This window comes from Homo sapiens, chromosome 6 (assembly GCF_000001405.40).
Source record: "Homo sapiens chromosome 6, GRCh38.p14 Primary Assembly".
NCBI lineage: Eukaryota > Metazoa > Chordata > Mammalia > Primates > Hominidae > Homo > Homo sapiens.
Window position 1 is genome coordinate 28,470,134 of NC_000006.12, and position 19,386 is coordinate 28,489,519.

Genomic DNA, 19,386 nt, shown 5'->3' on the forward strand with positions numbered 1-19,386 from the left:
CACTTAAATATGTTGATTAGGAAGAAAGAGTACTTTGGTTAAGTATAAAATAATAGAAGATTTGTGGCAAGATGATTGCTGTAATATACCTGCTGAGTCTTTCTGAATCACTCCATTAAAAAAGCATAACAATTAGGATAGAAAACCAACCAAACAAAATCCCATCAGCAATATCCTCAACAAAATGAGGTAATTAAGTATTCTCACAAACTGTCAAATATGACTGAGTAGGAACTACTCACCAACAAATGCAAGGTACAACAACTGTAAGAGAGGAAATGAGGAGAAAGGAAATGAACGTCTGATGGCCCTCAGAACTGGAAAATCCAGAAATTCGCCTGCTAAAAGGAGGAGAGGGCTCCACCTAAGAATAGAAGCTCAGCAAATTGATCTAATTACAGTGGCTAAAAGGGAGAGTCTTTACAGGTTCTGATTCATAAGTAAGTGCAAGGAGCCCAGGTTGTCTGGGCCCTGTGAACCCTTGAAATGAAGGAATTTTCTGTAGTAAAAACCCACACCATGGCAGGGCACAGGGGCTCAGGCCTGTAATCCCAGCACTTTGGGAGGCTGAGGTGGGCAGATCACTTGAGGTAGGAGTTCTAGACCAGCCTGGCCAACATGGTGAAACCCCGTCTCTACTAAAATACAAAAATTAGCCAGGAGTGGTGGTGCGCACCTGTAATCCCAGCTACTCGGGAGGCTGAGGCAGGAGAAGCACTTGAACCAGAGAGGCAGAGGCTGCAGTGAGCCGAGACAGCGCCACTGCACTCCAGCCTGGGCAACAGAGAGAGACTCCATCTCAAAAAACAAAACAATCCCACATTCACATTAAACAACTAAGAACAAAGAAAAAAGACGTAAAAGTAGACCTAAATAAATGGACATTCATTCTATGCTCTTGGATTGGTCATCATAAATATATCACTTTTCTTTATAAATTAATATAAATTATATTAAATTTATAAATTTAATCCAGTATCAGTAAATAAAAAGTACTACTCATTTAGTCACAGGAACCTAAACAGAGCCCAACTATCTTCTAGAGTTGGGGAGTTAGCATTCAAGGAAGCCAAAGTAACTAAAATTCACGGGCAAAGTACCAAGGAGAAGAGGGCTACAGAGAGGGAGAGTTCTGAAGATCTGCAGAGGTTCTTTGGCAATTAGAAAGACTTTTAGTTGAGTTCTATGTCCCTTGACATACCCTCATCATCGTGTTGTTTCTGAGCACTTTCATACTTTCTGGCACTACAAGATTCTCCAGGCTCATCTTGTATATTTCCTACCCAGTCCTACAATTCACCACTTCTCCAAGGAGCCCTGGTTCCTTTTATTGGAAAACAGTTTTAGAAACCAAGATCTGGGCAATAGATGTCCTTATTGGTAATGGGATATTGTTGCCTTTAGGCCCTCTCAGCTGACAGACCAACAAAATACATGCATGTGTGTTTCATGTGTACATACATAATATGTATACATATTATATACACACAAATATCTATAAATATATATCCATTTGTATCTATATTAAGCTAAATTTGAGTTCATACTGATATCTCCAATTTTAATCCATTACCACCTGTATCATTCTAGCCTTCTTCCCTTGCTTGTCTATAAAATTTCCCTCCCAAAGTGAGAAGCCTGGCTCTCACCATCTAGCATTCATTTATTTAGTTGTTCAATTCCAGTACCCATGTAGAGGGGTTTCAGAATTTTTAATCCATACTCCCCTGGTAAACGACTTAATCAACTAGAGTACAATGTTATATACAGTTCTTTTTGACTTTAGTCTTGCAGACTCTACTATATTTCCAAATTTACTTAGTTCAGCAGCTTTCTACTCTACTTCCTTCAATGAAGTTGTTTTATAGATTTGTAACACAGGTATATTCTTTTGTCACAGTATGAGTTCCATCCTGGGATGCTGATAGGAGAATCTTTTTAATAGGTGATGTATAAGAAAACCGTTTGCTCCCAAGGCCTATTATTTTGGTTACTTTTTCAGCAAGTTCCAGCATATGTCTAGTTTTGGGGCAAATAATTTGTGATTATCAGTAAGTTTTGAAGTATTGAGACTATCGGATGCAACTTTTAAAATATGTTAGGTCAACTATTCCATAGTATGTAAAATCATTACAACTGTATAAGAAAACAGCTGTGGCCGGGCGCAGTGTCTCATGCCTGTAATCCCAGCACTTTGGGAGGCCGAGGCGGGTGGATCACGAGGTCAGGAGATTGAGACCATCCTGGCTAACACGGTGAGACCCCATCTCTACTAAAAAAACAAAAAAAAGTACAAAAAAAAGAAAACAGTTGCAAAATCGTGTGGATTGTCTACTGCGTTTTTGAATAAATAAAAATAATGAAATTGGCCACTATGATCATATGCAGCCAGAATCTATTACATTATGATGTGCTACAATTATTTTCTGAATACACAGTGTTCCACTGTCAATGACAGTTGTTTGATGTTTTCTTCATTGTTTTTCTATTCTACAAATAATTTATTATCCAGATGTAGTCTTTTGATAGCAGTTTGAGATTCAGAAATTTCACAAAAAGCAAATAAAACAGAAGCATAATTCTATCTGTTAAACAGATATGTTGCTAAACTTAGAAATGCTTTGAGGTGTTTCTACATATCCAAATACTTGGTGGCCATAATCAAAAGCACACTGAATGCACCAAAATGCATATTTATGAACCAAATTTTTTGTGCATAGCATAATTTAATTCAGAGAAGAGCTTTTAGGCATGTAATTTAATCATGATGATCCTGATTTTTATTATTGTGTAAATTTCTATATATGTTTGCTACCTCAATTAGAATATATGAGGCTAACATTTTTATGCACTCTCTTAAATATTTTATTTAACTGTTGATCTATTTCCCTAATTATTTTAAAATTCTGTATTGTTTCTGTACATATATGAATAGAAAAAAAGATAGTTTTTTTTTACTTGCTAGTAGAAGTTAGTAAATTGTTAAGCTTTGGGATTTTTATCATAAAATGAAATAAGAGCTTAAAGTGTGGTTTAAAGAACGAAACACTTGGCCCCAAAAAAGTTTGTTCAAATAATAATAATAATGCTGACCCTTATTGAAAGCATTTTTGTTAAAAAGTAATTTATTTGTATTTATTCTTGAAAACATTCTTATAACAATTCCATTATCATTAAACAAACAAGGGAAGTGAAGCCCAGTGAAGTTATGTAGTTTGCCAAAACTACATAGTTATTAAAGAGGACAGCTGAGGGATGTACGCAGGCATTCTGATATGACTTCGAATGGATCCCTGTCCAGGGTCGGGATCTAATGAGGGGCAGCATGTAATAGGGTGCAGCAAAGGTAAAGTTGAAAGTCAATTCACTGTTTAAGGATGTTACCTAGGGTTGTTAGAATAACATGGCGATCAGAGTCATCCTAAGATCACTTCTCATAAAAGATAAAGGAAAACAAAAAATAGATCTGCTAGTGCCTTATAAGAAGGGCATAGAAATCTTGGTTTCTACTCATACACTCCTCGTCTTCTTTGTTTGCTTAATTTTTCTCCATAGAATTCACCACAATCTGACATAATATTTATTTTATGTTTTTATCTATTCATTATCTTCCATACTCTTCTAGATAATAAGGTCCATGAGGGTAAGATTTTTTTGGGGTGGAGGGATGGTGAGGGGTTGGCATTTATTAAACTGCCTTACCCCTGGCACTTGGAGCAGTACCTTGCACATAGAAGGCAGTCAATACGTCTGTGTTGAATTAACGGTCAAAATAATGAGATATGCAAACACATGCAAATGAAACTAATCAAGTAAGGTTGGCCCTTATTAGCTTTGGATGTTTGAAAATTTTCTTTGATTTGCTCTATTCCTTCAGCACTTTTGTTCCAGCCCCAGAGATGCACCAGCCTCTGGCAAATATAGCTTCTAACTGGCTGTCACTATAAAGTGTTCCTAGTTCATTTTATAAGAGGGTTAACAGGGTTTTAAAAATTATTTTCCTCCTGTTCTCTTCAAAAGGCAAGTAGGACCCTGCAAATATGCTAATTTCCCATCTGTTTTATGGTAGACTTATTAATTTATGGTAGTATATTAATTTATATGAACTCTTCTGAAATCAGCCAAAGAGCTGGACATTATTGGATTCTAGGGATGACATAATCTACATCTACATAGGTTTTGAATCTGTGCATACACAGAGAAGCTCAATAAATATTTGTTGGAAAAAAAGATCTGCTGCCAGAATTTAATTCAAAACTTCACAAAGTTCTCATTTTCTTCTTTGAGCCTGGGAATTTTGCCTTCACATAACCTATAATTGATTGCATTAGAACTTGCAGTATAGTGAATACAGTGGAAGATTTAGGTACAGTCGAGGTTAATGAAGAACTGGCTTTCTAGTGAAAATGAAAACCTTAAGGCTCTACTGGGATTCGAACCCAGGATCTCCTGTTTACAAGACAGGCGCTTTAACCAACTAAGCCATAGAGCCTACATGTGCAGTGAAGTTGCCTATTGAATCTATTCCTGCTTTTAAGTAAAAGATTCTTGGCATAGCGTCTCTACAGTCTGCAACAGTTTGCCGTGAGAGAAGGGGCAAACTCCAAAAATACGTTTTGCTTACTTAGATGCACTGCGGAACTAATACAAACGAAAAAATTTTCGGGCAGCTTAAATGTTAGGACCATTAATGCTTCAGCTAGTCCAAGGATAACCACAAGTAAAAGTCAAGGCTACTTAGTTTGTCCAAATGTGATAAAGTTTCCTAAAATTAAATTTTGCAGGTGCTACTCTTTATCATTTTAATGATTCGTCGTTCCAATGTCCTAAGGGAAAACCTCTAACAAAAGAAGTCCACAAGAGACTCGTAGGCTACCGAGTTGGGCGTATGGTGTTCTGACAGTCATTTGCACTCAGGAGGCAGCTATTTGGAGGACCGGAGCGTCAACCCCTTCCCAATGTGAGCATCGCTCTAGAGATTGTCTTCTGGGCTTATTTTTCTTTAGACTTGATCTCAGCTCGCTCTCAGGACCAGTCAGGTTCTATTTTATAATATCTTACTTCTCTGGGCTGCACTTGGCAAGACAGGGGAATCGGTTTGAATGTGTCTCTGGGTTAGGAAAGGTTAATACATTTAGAGCTGATTAAAGGAAACTTCCGAACGTTCTCTGGAATCTCAGTCTTGTTTCCAAAATGAATTATTTGAGCAATTAATTCTGAAGTTTCTACCAAGATTTATAATTACAGAGCTCAGGGCGAAAATCAGAAATCACCTTCATTTCTTTGCCACAAAAGCAATAAGGAAAATTATCCTGGGATTTAGATGGGAATTCCTTTGGATTGCTAGATAAATTTTAGGGAGAACTGATAAACTTTTAATCCATACATATGGCATAACATTCAATTTATTCTTTTATTAAATTTATTCCTATAAATTTGATGTTTATGTTATTATAAATTATACTTTAAAATTTTTTATTTCTACTTTTTTTTTTTTTTTTGGAGACAAGATCTTACTCTGTCACCCAGGCTGGAGTGCAATAGCGCGATCTCGGCTCACTGCAACCTCTGCCTCCCAGGTTCAAGAGATTCTTGTGCCTCAGCCTCCCGAGTAGCTGGGATTACAGGCACATGCCACCACGCCCAGCTAATTTTTTTGTATTTTTTGGTAGAGACGGAGTTTCACCATGCTGCTCAGGCCGGTCTCGAACTCCTGACCTCAAGTGATCCGCCCGCCTTGGCCTCCCATAGTGCTAGGATTACAGGCGTGAGCCACCGCGCCCAGCCCTTGTTTACAGCTGGTGTTTAAAAGTACAATTCATTTTTATATTTACCCTGCATAAAGACACCTTATTAAATTTAGTTATTAATTCTAATAGTTTGTAGATTTTGAATCTTCCACAGACACAATTTTAATAAAGGATTACATTTATTAGATTTTAAAAATAAAGGAAATCACCTTCATTTCTATCTATGCCTGAAATGAGGTTGACAGCAGACACAATAAAATCTGTTGTCACCAGTCAGTGCAACTAATTTAATAATAAAAGCTTAAATTAGTTACAACTTTGTATTACTTTTAGAAAATTAAAAATAACAAATATTTGTATTTATAAAAACATTAACAGGGATTGCTAATATGTTTGAGGCTGACTCTGCTGCTTCATAAATAGAATAGTAAACAACAGACATACTGAATTCCCACACTTGAATCTTCTGTCAATGTATGCCTTGAGTAAATGACATGCTCAGGTATTATGAGAGAGTGAACAAACCATTGTTAGGCCACCAAAATAGTTTTTTTTCTCCAATGGAAACACTCAAAAGTTGAGAGAAAAAAATGGTTAAGACTGTAATCATTGGCAACTTAAATCAATAGAAATAGGCAGATTATTCAAAACATGTGTTGGGCTAATTGGACAGCCACTTAGGAAAAGAAAAGCTTAAAGCTATGAGACTAAAATAAATTCCAAATACAAGCAAATTGTAAAAGTAAAGAATGAAACAAACCCACAGTTATAATTACTAGAAATTCCAAGACAGAAATTTTATATAACTTTGGTACAGAAAACTAATTTTTTACACAAAATTCAGAGACAATGAGAGTTTAACATAATTCACTGCATTAAACAACATTTAAAAAATTCCACTGGGATGTACCCTCATCCCCTCAAAAAAGGCATAAACACAGTGACAAAACATCAAGTAAAACTGGGGGGGAAAATATTTGTAACTTATGTTTTAAAGAGTTAATTTTATTCATTTCTATCTGTTGCCTGAGATAAGGTTGATAGCAGACACAATAAAATCTGTTGTTCCCAGTTGGTGCAACCAATTTAATAATAAAAGCAATATAGAAGTAAGAAGTAAAAGAAGTTTAAAAAATGAAACTATAGAAATACAGTGAGATAATGTCTTTAACATATCAGATTGGCAAACAACAGCAAAACAAAAACAGTTGTTTGTGGTAGTGTGCCGAATAGCACTTAAAGATGTTGAATTAGTTTTCTGTAGCTTCTGTAACAAATTACAGTACCACAAACTTGATGGCCTAAAATAAGTGACTTCTTTTCTCACAGTTCTGGAGGCCAAAAGTCCAAACTCAGTATCACTGGTTTGAAATCAAGGTGTTGGCAGGGCTATGCTCCCTCCGGAGGCTCTAGGGAAGAATATGTCCTTACCTTTTCCCAGCCTCTGGTGGCTGCTCGCATTCCTTGGCTGGTGGTGGCATTGCTTCTATCTGTGTCCGTGTGGTCACATTGTCTTCTTCTCTTCTGTAACTGTATAATCTCCCTGTGCCTCTCCCTATTAAAGGCACTTGTGATGGTATTTGAGCTCCACTTGGATAATCCAGGATAATTTCTTCATCTTTAACTTTTTCTCCGAAGACCCCCCTTTTGGGGGTCTGTGCAAAGTAAGGTAATATTCAGAGATTCCAAGAATTAGAGCATGGATATCTTTTGGGGCATTTTTCATTCAATCACAGGCACTGACATTCTTATTCCTCCATCTACAATCTATGTGATTTAGACGACTGTGATTATGTGATTAATCGGTCACAACTCCAATTTTCTTTTCTGTAAAATGTGGATTATATGAACATCCTTATATATTATTGAGATTATTCTATGACTCAATATATGTAAAGAATTTATGACAATATCTGGGGCTTAGTTGGAGCTAAATGACTGATAATTGTCATTATTACAATGTTCTGTGCTGGTCAGGGTGTTGAGGAAACAGGTCCTTTCTGGGCCCTATAGGAGAATAAATTAGTAATATTTAGGGAAGGAGAATAAGGCAAGAGCCACCAAAATCATCATCACATACATATGATTTGATTTAGCGATTGCATTCTTAGAACGTTTTCTAATCCCAGGCACTTATTAAATGCGGATATACAAGTTAATTTATTGCAACATTATTTATATTGTTAAAAATGGCTGCTGAAATAAATTCAGATACATTTATAAAACTAAATGCTATACAGACAAAACAAAGAGGGAAGAGGCTCTTTCTTTGTTGACATGGAAATTGCTGCAACATACATAAAGTGAAAAAGGCAAGGTGTAATAGAATGGGTTTGGAAAGCGTATTTATAGTGAAAAAACTATATGCAAAGAATATGCCTTTAATAGAACTCCAGATTTTAATATGGTTGGTTGCCTGAGGGTCCAGAATTGGGTGTCCGGCAGGATGGGGTGGGGGCACAAATAGACTGTCATTATGTATGTATTCTTGAATTTTTGTAATTTTGAATCATGTGAGTTGTACTTTTTGTATGAGCATTTTTAAAACATAAAAAGGAACATACTCCCTTGGAGAGGAGGTCTTAGAAATAACTGATGGCAGTCTGATTTTGCAGCTGCTATTTGGTTTTCAACCTACCATTATCAGGATTAAATACCTACCTTGTGCTCGCAGTGGAAAATGTTTTTCTTGCAAATCTCAATGAGCTTTAGATATCCCTACTAATTTTGCAATAAACCTGGCAGCGGTGGGATTCAAACCCACGCCCCCGAAGAGACTGGAGCCTTAATCCAGCGTCTTAGACCACTCGGCCACGCTACCACGCTAGTCCAGTATTAGGACTCATCTTAATGATTTAAAAGACACAAGATTATTCTGCGTCTTACTATTTTTTTTTCTCAGAGCATTTCTACACAAATGATTCCGTAGCGGTCTCAACTACCGATAAAATCTACAAATAGGTTCCTAGTCCCAGTCCTTTGTCCTGCAGCTGAGATTTGCATTTGTCTCCCATGCTGTTTCTAATACCTGAGAGTAAAGGGACAGGAAGCCAGTACCTAATATCCAACAAATCCCAAGAGAATCGGTTCTTAAGAACATGATTAGAAATCCCACGCCTAGGCCGACGCAGCACGGGGACTCTGAGGACTCTGAGATCGAGTCTCCAGTTTGTCAGCTGCGTTTGGGGGTCTGGAGCAAGATGTTATTTTTGATGTTTGCAACCAGAAAACAGAGGAGCTGTCATCCCCATCCACCCGGAACTCGCGTCTTGGTTTATGTGTCTGTGCGTGATTCCCTCTTGTGAAAGAGGTGGAAAGAACTATGCAAACAGACCTGCTTTTTTAGCTGAATGTGTTCATGACCTTAGTTTTTAAAGTTCAGGGCGAGGACCAGTTTGTATTTGGTGCGGAGTATCACATCCTCTCCGGACCCTAACAGGATGTGTCGCCTGCTCGCTCCAACCCCACAAACGCCGTCTGGGCTGGCACTCCGACTTCTTCTTCCCTGTTGCAGCCCCAACGCCGCTCATCTTCTTATTTAGTCCCACCTGTCCCATTAGATGCTGACCCTTTTTAAAAGAGCCACAGTTGGAATATTTCAAATGCCAGCAGCTCCACTTAATAGCTGCAGGGTCATTGGCAAGTCACTTAAGCTCACTGGATCTCACTTTCCTCATATGTAAAACCGAGACAATAAAACTTGCCTTTAAAAATTACAGCAGAATGTTTTGATACAATGGATTTTGGGGACTCGGGGGAAAGGGTGGGGGAGGGTTGAGGGATAAAAGACTACACATTGGGTACAATGTACACTGCTCTGGTGACAGATGCACCAAAGTCTCAGCAATCACCGCTAAATAACCTACTCATGTAACCAAACACCACCGTTCCCCCCAAAACCTATTGAAATAAAAGAGTTAAAAAACTATAGCAGAATTTTTATTTTTAGCAAATGCATGTAAATTGCTTAAAACAGCACCTGGCTCATAATAAGCACTCAGTGAAGTTTACTATCAGTATTGGTATCATTTATTAGCATTTACTGAACTTTTTATATCAAGTGCTCAGTCTCATGAATGACAGTGAGATCTCTCATTTTACAGTTAGTGAAGTTTTTTAAAGTAACATATTTACAAGACAGTCGAGTGAATTATTTTTCTTAAGTTAAGATGGCACGTGGAAAATTTACACCTCAACCCTACAATTTCAAACGTCGGACAATTTTCACTTTGTCAGATCGCTTTACCTTGTATATTGTTTCTCCCTTCTCAATCATTTCACCTCATCTCTTCCCCCTTGTCTCACCTCTATTTACACTATTCTGGGGCTCTAGACCTGTAAAGATCCTTCAGGTGACATGGTTAGGGACACTGATTTTAAGGAGAACTTTGGCAGGCAAGGAGGTGTAGCTTCAGACCCAGGTAAACCTGCAGCTATGATCTCATTAGAACTTATCTGCTTTCTGCGTCTGTCATTGCTTCCGGCTGCGAATCTTCAGGCTGTGGACCCAGCTCAGTCCCCTTGCGTCTATATGTCACCTTCTAGTTACATAATTTACACATGTTGTGCTGGGGGGTAGTGTGCAATCTAATGAAGTCTAACATCTCCCAGGAGAAAGTGGTGTTTAAGGCACAGTGGGAAAATCCACTGTGTTGTACATTTATTTAAACAAGGGGAAAGTCCCGAGATGATTTTTGCAAGTCATACGACATACTTGGAAGGACAGTAAACACATGACATAGCATACATTCTCATTTTACACTCTATTTTTAAAATCTAACTTTTCAGAAAGTTCACATAAACTTGAAAGAGTATAATTAACGGATTTGCTAAGACAGCAGTGCCTTCTTAGCCCTGGAGGCAGCACATCAGTCTCATAATCTGAAGGTCCCGAGCTTGAACCTCAGAGAGGGCATGGTGATTTTGTACTTTCCATATACTTTTGCTTGAGAAAGAAATATCCCACCCATTAAACTTTTCGGTATGAAATCTGGATTCCTGGATCACTGACAGACAACACAACTGAAAAATGAGGCTGCAGTCCCTCAAGAACCCTACCAACTTCCTTTGTGAGCTAGATGCTATTTTAATGCCCTGACTGCAGTATTATACAATACCACAATCTACACCAAATACCATAAATCTGTATCAGTTGCCTATGGCAGCTTTTGAAAATTACCATGAATTTTGTGGCTTAAAATAATACAAATGCATTATCTTAAATTTTTGGGGGACAGAAGTTTAAAATGGGTCTTAGGGAGCTATAATCAACATGTGGCAGAGCTGATTTCCTTCTGGAGGTTCTAGGGAAGAATCCATTCCTTGCCACATTGCTCGGCTCATGGCTGCATCATTGATCTCTGCTTCTGCTGTTACATCTTCTCCAACTCTGGGGAGTCTCATGCAGCCTGGTTGATGCATCTGTTTGGTGACGGGGAGTGCAAACTCAATGTCACCCGACTGGCGCAGTTTGAGAAAACTGACCATAACTCTGGTGTTGCAGCTCTAGTTTTGCCTTCACCCAATGACAGAACCAGCAGGACAGGGATCGAGATAAACCTATCCCATTCTTAGTTTGTGTTGATAGGAACAAGAGGGCTGTATTCCCTACTGCAGGAGGCTTCCCCAAGAGGAAGAACCCTCTAGAAAACTGTCCATGAAGTCATAACTGTCTTGCGTGGGAAGGCAATAGACAGGTAGAAATAGGATCCTGCTCCCCGACAAGATGTGGACAACGTGGTCCCGTCCCAGTGACCTTGGAGGCTTTTATGAGACAAGATCCTCCTCAAAGGCAGGTCCTCCTGCCCCGTCAGAAATGGACCAAAGGGCCCCACCCATAGCGCATGAGCACCTGCCTGCCATGGATCATGGTGTCACTCCTGAAGCCCTCCAATGCTATCGGCTTACCTCTACCCTTGCGAGAAATCAGGATTCTTGTCTTTTAAACCTCAGTGTCCAAAAACCCCATACACATCTGAACCCCCACTCCTTTCTCCCCTTCTACCCTTGCTGGTATGTAGGGTCACTTGACCATAGCAAAAACCAGGAGACCGTGGCCCTACCCCTAATTGTTCTTTCTGGAGGGAGTAAAGTCAGGACACATGCAAGAAGAGTGGTCCTCCACCCCAAGGGTGGCCACGCTTTGACTAAGAGTGGATGAGGACCCTCTGCCCAATGTGCTGAACTCTGTGAGGTACTGATGGCCGTGCAGGCTACTCCAACAGCAACTCCCTGCTATTTATTTATAGACTCATGGGCTGTTATAAATGGGCTAGCCATATGGTCCAGTGACTGTTGGACAGATAATTAAGCAGCCAGGCCAACATGGTGAAATCAAAGGAAATATACTAATAGAGAGATATTCCCTTTGCATGGTTAGGAGGACTCAATATTATCAAGATGTCAATTTTTCCCAATTTGATCTATAGATACAACATAATCCCAATCAACATCTCAGCCAGTTATTTGTGGATATTGACAAATAGATCCTGAAGTATATATGGAAAGGCAAAAGATGCAGAATAACTACACAACATTAAAGAAGAACAAAATTGAAATACTGGAGAAACACCTCTGCCATGTGTTCAGATATCTATTCAGACTCTAATCTGACCAAGGCACCTTCTTCACAGCCCAGATAATGCAGCAATGGGCATGTTCCTATGGCGTACAATGACCTTGATTTGCTCCATCACTTCCAGGCACCCAGAGTGGGAGGGGTGGTGTTAAAGCACTAGAATGAATAACTCAAGCAACAACTACAAAAAGGACCATCAGGAAGGACAACTCAACGAAGGGTGGTACTCCTGCTTAATGAAAGTATTTGGACCTTAAATTGTGCCCTCCAGTGAAAGGGAAACATGGCATTGCAATGCCTGCTGGGCAATGCTGACTTTGGAAGCATGGTTGCCTGACGTGTCTACGCCTGAGGAATCCCTATCTCAGTATATCCAACCACAGTGTTTGGAGGTCAAGGCTGTAGGGAGCCACAATTGAGCCACTGCACTCCAGCCTGGGTGACAGAGCGAGACCCTGTCTCAAAAAAAACAAGCAAGCAACAACAACAAAAACAAACAAACAAAAAACTAAAACAATCTATGCAGTAGGTTGACATCCTGGACTATTGCTTCTGGTGGTAGACTGTGTTACACTCTTTGTTATCCTCCACCCAGTGACAATGGTATTTCTCTCATTTGTTTAAGTCTTCTTTACTTCCTCTCAGTTATCTTTTGTAGTTTTTCAGTGTGCAGGTCTTGCACACATTTTTTAACTTACCTTTAAGTATTTGATAGTTTTGAAGCTCTTGTAAACGGTATCTTTTTGTTTTAAACATCCAATTTGTCTTTCCTTTGAATGTTTCACTAACTTTGGATTCTTGGAGTTTAATCCCAGGAATGTCCTGCTTTGTCATGATGTGTTATCATTTTATAAATGGTTGAATTTGATTTGCTGAATTTTTAAGGATTTTTTTTCTTCTTAGGAGGAACACTGGTTTGCAGTTTCGTTCCTTGTATGGCTTTGTCTGGTTTTGGTATTAGGGTAATGCTGGCCTGATAAGTGAGTTCAGATGTGTGGCCTCCTTTTTTGCTTTCTGAAATAATTTGTGTAAAATTGATATTATTTATTGCTTAAAAAGTTGGTAGAATTTACTTTGGAGCCATCTGGGCCAGATTTTGTTTCTTTGTAAGAATGTTATAAAGCATGGATTTAATTTAGTTAATCGATGTAGGTCTATTTAGGTTATCTATTTCTTCTTGAATACACTTTTTGTGTCTTTCAAGGAGTTTTTCCATTTCATCTATGATGTCAAAGTTATTGGTAAAATACATTCATAACATTTCCTTGTGTCCTTTTGTTATTTGTAGAAGCTCTAGTGATATCTACTCCTTCATTTGTTTCTTTTGTTTTTCTCTGTTAATATATTTTTTATTTTTTAAATATAGAGATGGGGTCTCGGTATGTTGCTCAGGAATTAGTTCGTGAGCCACCATGCCCAGGCTACTGTCATTTGTGATATTTGTGTCTCTTCTCTCTTTTTTTCCTGAAGAGTATGGCTAGAAATGTATCAATTTTGTTAATCTTTTCAAAGAACCAGCTTTTGACGTTATTGTTTTTCCTTATTGTTTTTCAGTTTTCTATTTCATTGGCATTTACTCTAGTATTTTCCTCTTCTGCCTGCTTTGGATTTAATTTGCTTATCTTTTTTACTAAGTTTCTAAGGCAGAAGATGAGAACATTGATTAGAGACATTTCTTCCTTTCTAATATAAATGTTTAATGCTAAAATTATCCCACTAAGTATGGTTTTTGTTGCATCCCACAAATTTTGATATGTTGTATTTTCAGTTTTATTCAGTTTAAAGTGTTTTCTAATTTCTCTGTGATTTCTTCTTTGACTTATGGGTTATTAGAACTCCATGGTTTAATCTCCAGATATGTGTGGCTTTCTCAAATATCTCCAAATGTTATTGATGTTCAGGTTATTTTGCTGTGTACAAGAAAAAACTCTCTGTGATTTTAATCCTTTCAATGATTATGCATATATATATATATACACACACATACACACATTGAAAGAATGTGTATATATATATATTGTCTTCTATGTTATCATATATGTGTGCAGTCACTCAGATAAAGATGTGGACTTCATAGTTTTAAAACATGCCTGAACTTTTTCTTTTTTTTTTTTTTGAGACGGAGTCTCGCTCTGTCGCCCAGGCTGGAGTGCAGTGGCGGGATCTCGGCTCACTGCAAGCTCCGCCTCCCGGGTTCACGCCATTCTCCTGCCTCAGCCTCCCAAGTAGCTGGGACTACAGGCGCCCGCCACTACGCCCGGCTAATTTTTTGTATTTTTAGTAGAGACGGGGTTTCACCGTTTTAGCCGGGATGGTCTCGATCTCCTGACCTCGTGATCCGCCCGCCTCGGCCTCCCAAAGTGCTGGGATTACAGGCGTGAGCCACTATGCCTGGCCAGAAATTTACTTTGAAAGTCTTTTTAGGCCGGACTTGTTGGCTGGACATGGTGTCCTGCGTCTATAGTCCCCAGTTACTTGGGAGGCTGAGGTGGGAGGATCGCTTGAGGCTGGGGGGTGGAGGTTGCTGTGAGCTGAGATCACACCACTGCACTCCAGCCTGGGAAGCAAAGTCAGACTCTCTAAAGCATACCCCAAGACAAAGGATGTGCCTTAATGAGTATGTGATTTATTGAGGAAATGATCCTCTGGATGGGGAAGAACAAGTAACAAAACAAAGATGTGGTCTCACATAAAGTCTAGCTTTGGCCTGACCCATGAGACAGGGGCTCTGGAATATAAATTGCATAGCAGAGTGGTCACTGAGTCAAGGGACTTGACTTTTATACTCCTTCCCCCATCCGTCAGTTATTAGCTGCTGGGAATGGAATGGTGGTGTAATCTACTAGATGTCTCCAAACAGCCAAGGGCGATTCATGGGACAACTTCACAGAGTTACACCATTGTGGGGATAGGTGTGTAACTTCCCAAGGAGTCCTTCCTGTCCACTGCACCCAGAAAGACCACAACATTGCAGTAAAGAAAGAGTTTAATAGACACGAGGTCGGCCATGCCCCATGGGAGATGGCGTTAGTACTCAAATTATCTCCCTGAAGGCATGGAGGTTATGGGTTTTTCAAAGACAGTTTGGTGGGCAGGGGACCAGGGTAGGGGGCAAGCTGATTGGTTGGGTTGGAGATGAAATCATGGGGAATTGAGGCTGTCCTCTCATGCTGAGTCAGTTCCTGGGTGGAGGCCACAGGATGGGTTGGCGGGTCCAGGTGAGGACACGTGGTTGTCAGAAATGCAAAAACCTGAAAAGACATCACCATATTGTAGGTTGTGCAATAGTGATGTTATCTGCAAGAGTAATTGGGGAAGTTGCAAATCATATTACCTCCAGAATAATGGCTGGTAGTTATTTAGAATTCAGACCCTTCTCATCCTCTAACTTGGTGGCCTTTCATTAGTTTTATAAGAACAGTTTAGTCTTTGGGAAGGGGTATTACCATTTAAATTATAAACTAAATTTCTCCAAAAATTAGTTTGGCCCATGCCCAGGAATGAGCAAAGACAACCAACCAGTGAGGCTGGGAACAAGATGAAGTCAGCATGCCAGATTTCTCTTACTGTCATAATTTTGCAATGGCTGTTTCAGGTGTAGTGGCCTGTAAAAAACAAACTAGGAAGAAGAAAAAGAATTGAGAGGGTTTCCAAGATTCTGTGCTACTGTAAAACAACTAAAGAAGTGGAATACCCTAGGTTTGTAATTTTAAGTTGAGGTGTGAATATCCCAGATGTCATCTGTTATTTAGGAAAAATAATAGATTTCATTTACTTGCTAGTATAAATCACTAATTTTGTTTTAATGTTTTGTGTTAGTTTCCTAGGGTTGTCATAACAAATTACCACAAACTGGGTGGCTTAAAGTGATAGGAAATTACTTTCTCACAGTTCTGGAAGCCAGAAGTCTAAAATCAAGATGTGGACAGCGTCATGCTCCTTTAAAAGCTCTTGGGAAGAACCCTTCCTTGCCTCTTTCAACTGTGATGATTGCCAGAGATCCTTGGTGTTCCTGTAACCACCTAACAGGTTCCCCTTGCCTGCTGCCTAGACACAACCAACTTATCAAGACAGGGGAACTGCAATAGAGAAAGAGTTTAATTCATGCAGAGGAGTACAGGAGACTGGAGTTTTATTATTCCTTAAATCAGTCTCCCCCAAAACATGGGGATTGGGGTTTTTAAGGATAATTTGGTGGGTAGGGTTTAGTGAGTTGGGAGTGCTGATTGGTTGGGTCAGAGATGAAAGCATAGTGAGTTGAAGCTGTCTTCTTGTGCTGAGTCAGTTCCTAGGTGGGGCCACAAGATCAGATGAGCCAGTTTACTGACCTGGGTGGTACAGCTGATCCATTGAGTGTAGGGTTTACAATAGAATAGTGATGTTATCCCCAGTAGCAATTTGGGGAGTGTCAGAATCTTGTAGCCTCCAGCCGCATGACTCCTAAACCATAATTTCTAATCTTGTGGCTAATTTGTTAGTCCTACAAAAGCAGTCTAGTCCCTAGGCAGGAAGGGGGTTTGCTTTGGGAAAGGGCTGTTATCATCCTGTTTCAAAGTTAAACTATAAACTAAGTTCCTCCCAAAGTTACTGCAGCTTACACCCAGGAATGAACAAGGACAGCTTGGAGGTTAGAAGCAAGATGGAGTCAGTTAGGTCAGATCTCTTTTACTGTAATAATTTTCTCAGTTATAATTTTGCAATGGCAGTCTCACTCCTTGGCTTGTGGCCAGTAACTGCAATCTCTGCCTCCATCTTCACAGGGCCGTCTTCCCACTATGTCTGTGTCTCTGTGTCCAAACCTCCCTCTCTTCGAGTAAAGATCCCAGTCACTGGATTATGCCCCACCCTAATCCAGAATGACCTCATCATAACTTGATTACTTCTGCAAAGACCCTAGAAAGGCAGATTTATTAGAGAAAGTATGAAAATAGGTTGCAAGAAAGCAATGGCTAAATCAGCATGAGAGAAGCTGACTGCAAAGAAACAAAGGCTTGCTGGAGACTTTACAGAATAGGGTTTATGCTGTAAACTGAAGAGGGCTTTGTGCAGTACTGATAATGCCAAAGTTGAAATGAACTGCCTTGCAGGTGTGTGGTGATAGTTGAGCACAGGAAGATTGTGAGTTGTTTGTACAAGAGGGCTATGTGTCCTGGACCATGAAGAAAGGCAGACTTATAGCTTATCTGCTTTCTGTTCTTGCTTTCCCTTGGTCCCGCCAGTCTGACTCCTTTTCCCAATTAGGACTCCACAGTTAACTTGGTCCATGCCCAGAAATGAGAGAAGACAGCCAGCCCATGAGGCTAGAAGCAAGATGGAGTCAGCCACAGCCATGTCAGATTTATGCTACTGTCATAGGTTTGCAAAGGCAGTTTCAGAGTAAAAGGATTAAACACTTGTCCCTAATTGTTCAATAAATAAGAAAAATTATAAAAAGCAACAATATAGTGAACTTTATTGCTTGTTTAGGTGCCAAATATCCTTCTAAAATATTTTGTATACTTACTCAACAAGCTCTCCCATCAACTATATTAGGTAGGCTTATTACTATTTCCATTCCACATGTGAAGAAAGTGATGCCCATGGAGCTAGAGCAATTTGCTAAAGGTCCCTTAGCCATCAAATGTAGCAGCTGAGGTTTGAATACAGCCGATGTGACCTAGTTCAACAAGGTCCCAATCAAAATGAACAGCAGTGAGGTCCAAACATAGGGACAATTTTCCAATGTTTTACGTTGCTACTTATGATACTTAGAGTAACATAGTAGCCACATTGTGAATATTTCTCATTAAAAAGTAAAAAAACAGGCCAAGCGCGGTGGCTCACACCTGTAATCCCAGCACTTTGGGAGGCTGAGGCAGGCGGATCACTTGAGGCAGGAATTGGAGACCAGCCGGGCCAACATGGTGAAACCCTGTCTCTAATGAAAATACAAAAATTAGCTGGGCGTGGTGGTGCACACCTGTAATCCCAGCAATTCTGGAGGCTGAGGCATGAGAATCGCTACTGCACTGGAGCCTGGGTGACAGAGCGAGATTCCATCTCAAAAAAAAAAAAAAAAAAGGCAAGCATGCCCCTGCAAATGTCCTAATTTTTGTTTGTAGCTACTAATGGGTTTGTTGTTCATTAATTTCTTATCTTATGAATTCAATTATAGAGCTGGAGATTTTTAGAATCTAGAGAGATTTTATTTATCTGCATGCCTACAACAGTTATCTACATGCTTTAAACTGTAACACATTGTAAGTGCTCAAAAACATTTTACCACAGTTTAAAGCAAGACATACGAAATTGATTGAGGTGGGTCACATGCATTATTCTTTCGCACTTTTTGCATTTGCATTGTCTTCCTCCTAAAAATTTACTTTTTAAAAGTAAGGAATCTGAGCAGGATGCAGTTAAACAACTTGGGATTTATCCAGTTGTGTTCTACTGCTGTTAAGTTTGGTGAGAATGTTTGGCAATTAGTGGGAGGACGCAGTTCTTCGTCAAGAAAACAATTTTCAGAAACAGCTGATTTTCTCTGGAAAACATCAGGCCCCACTGGGAGTCGAACCCAGGATCTCCTGTTTACGAGACAGGCGCTTTAACCAACTAAGCCATAGAGCCACGCGGAAGCACTCTTTAGAGGTGAATCTATCTCATTTTACTTTGACAAAATGAGTTTAGTTAGTTATCTGCTGTCTTCAAAAAATATGTCAACTCGAGAAACACTTCATTTCCTCAGTATCTTTTGAAGACATACGAATACACGGGGAAACGTATTCGGCAGTCTACAGTGTCAAAGGATTTTTCTATTAATCCAAGAAAGAGCATTACAGAAAGCTATACAATACGTGAAGACGATTAAAAGGAATATATCTATACATAATTTTAAAAAACCTTTGAATCTTGAAAGTCACTCACTTAGGGTACGTGAAGCTGCCAAATTTATCAGAGAAGGAACAGGCATCTCTCGCATGGAGCCGTGGGCCTCGGCGTTAAGGCACTCTTCAGCTACAGGTGGCAGCCCGTTTAGCTCTTCTTAAGGTCTTGTGATGTCATTTTCAAGAGGCCAGTAAA

The 19,386-nt window shown here is 39.5% G+C and overlaps 1 long non-coding RNA gene, 3 other non-coding genes and 2 pseudogenes across 4 annotated transcripts; 2 read left to right on the top strand and 4 right to left on the bottom strand.

Moving 5' to 3' along the window:
• Nucleotides 1–4,418: 4,418 nt before the first annotated feature.
• On the bottom strand, nt 4,419–4,492 carry TRT-TGT1-1 (tRNA-Thr (anticodon TGT) 1-1). Its single transcript has one exon. It is a non-coding gene; the product is annotated as a tRNA-Thr (tRNA).
• Nucleotides 8,440–8,521, top strand: TRNAL47P (transfer RNA leucine 47 (anticodon AAG) pseudogene; annotated as a pseudogene).
• On the bottom strand, nt 8,490–8,571 carry TRL-AAG4-1 (tRNA-Leu (anticodon AAG) 4-1). The gene has a single exon. It is a non-coding gene; the product is annotated as a tRNA-Leu (tRNA).
• Nucleotides 10,593–10,665, top strand: TRMEP1 (tRNA methionine elongator pseudogene 1; annotated as a pseudogene).
• On the bottom strand, nt 15,296–19,357 carry LOC124901294 (uncharacterized). Its single transcript, XR_007059537.1, has 2 exons — nt 19,231–19,357; nt 15,296–15,578 (listed from the first exon to the last, which is right to left on the bottom strand). It is a non-coding gene; the product is annotated as an uncharacterized LOC124901294 (long non-coding RNA).
• Nucleotides 18,860–18,933, bottom strand: TRT-CGT1-1 (tRNA-Thr (anticodon CGT) 1-1). The gene has a single exon. It is a non-coding gene; the product is annotated as a tRNA-Thr (tRNA).
• Nucleotides 19,358–19,386: the final 29 nt, after the last annotated feature.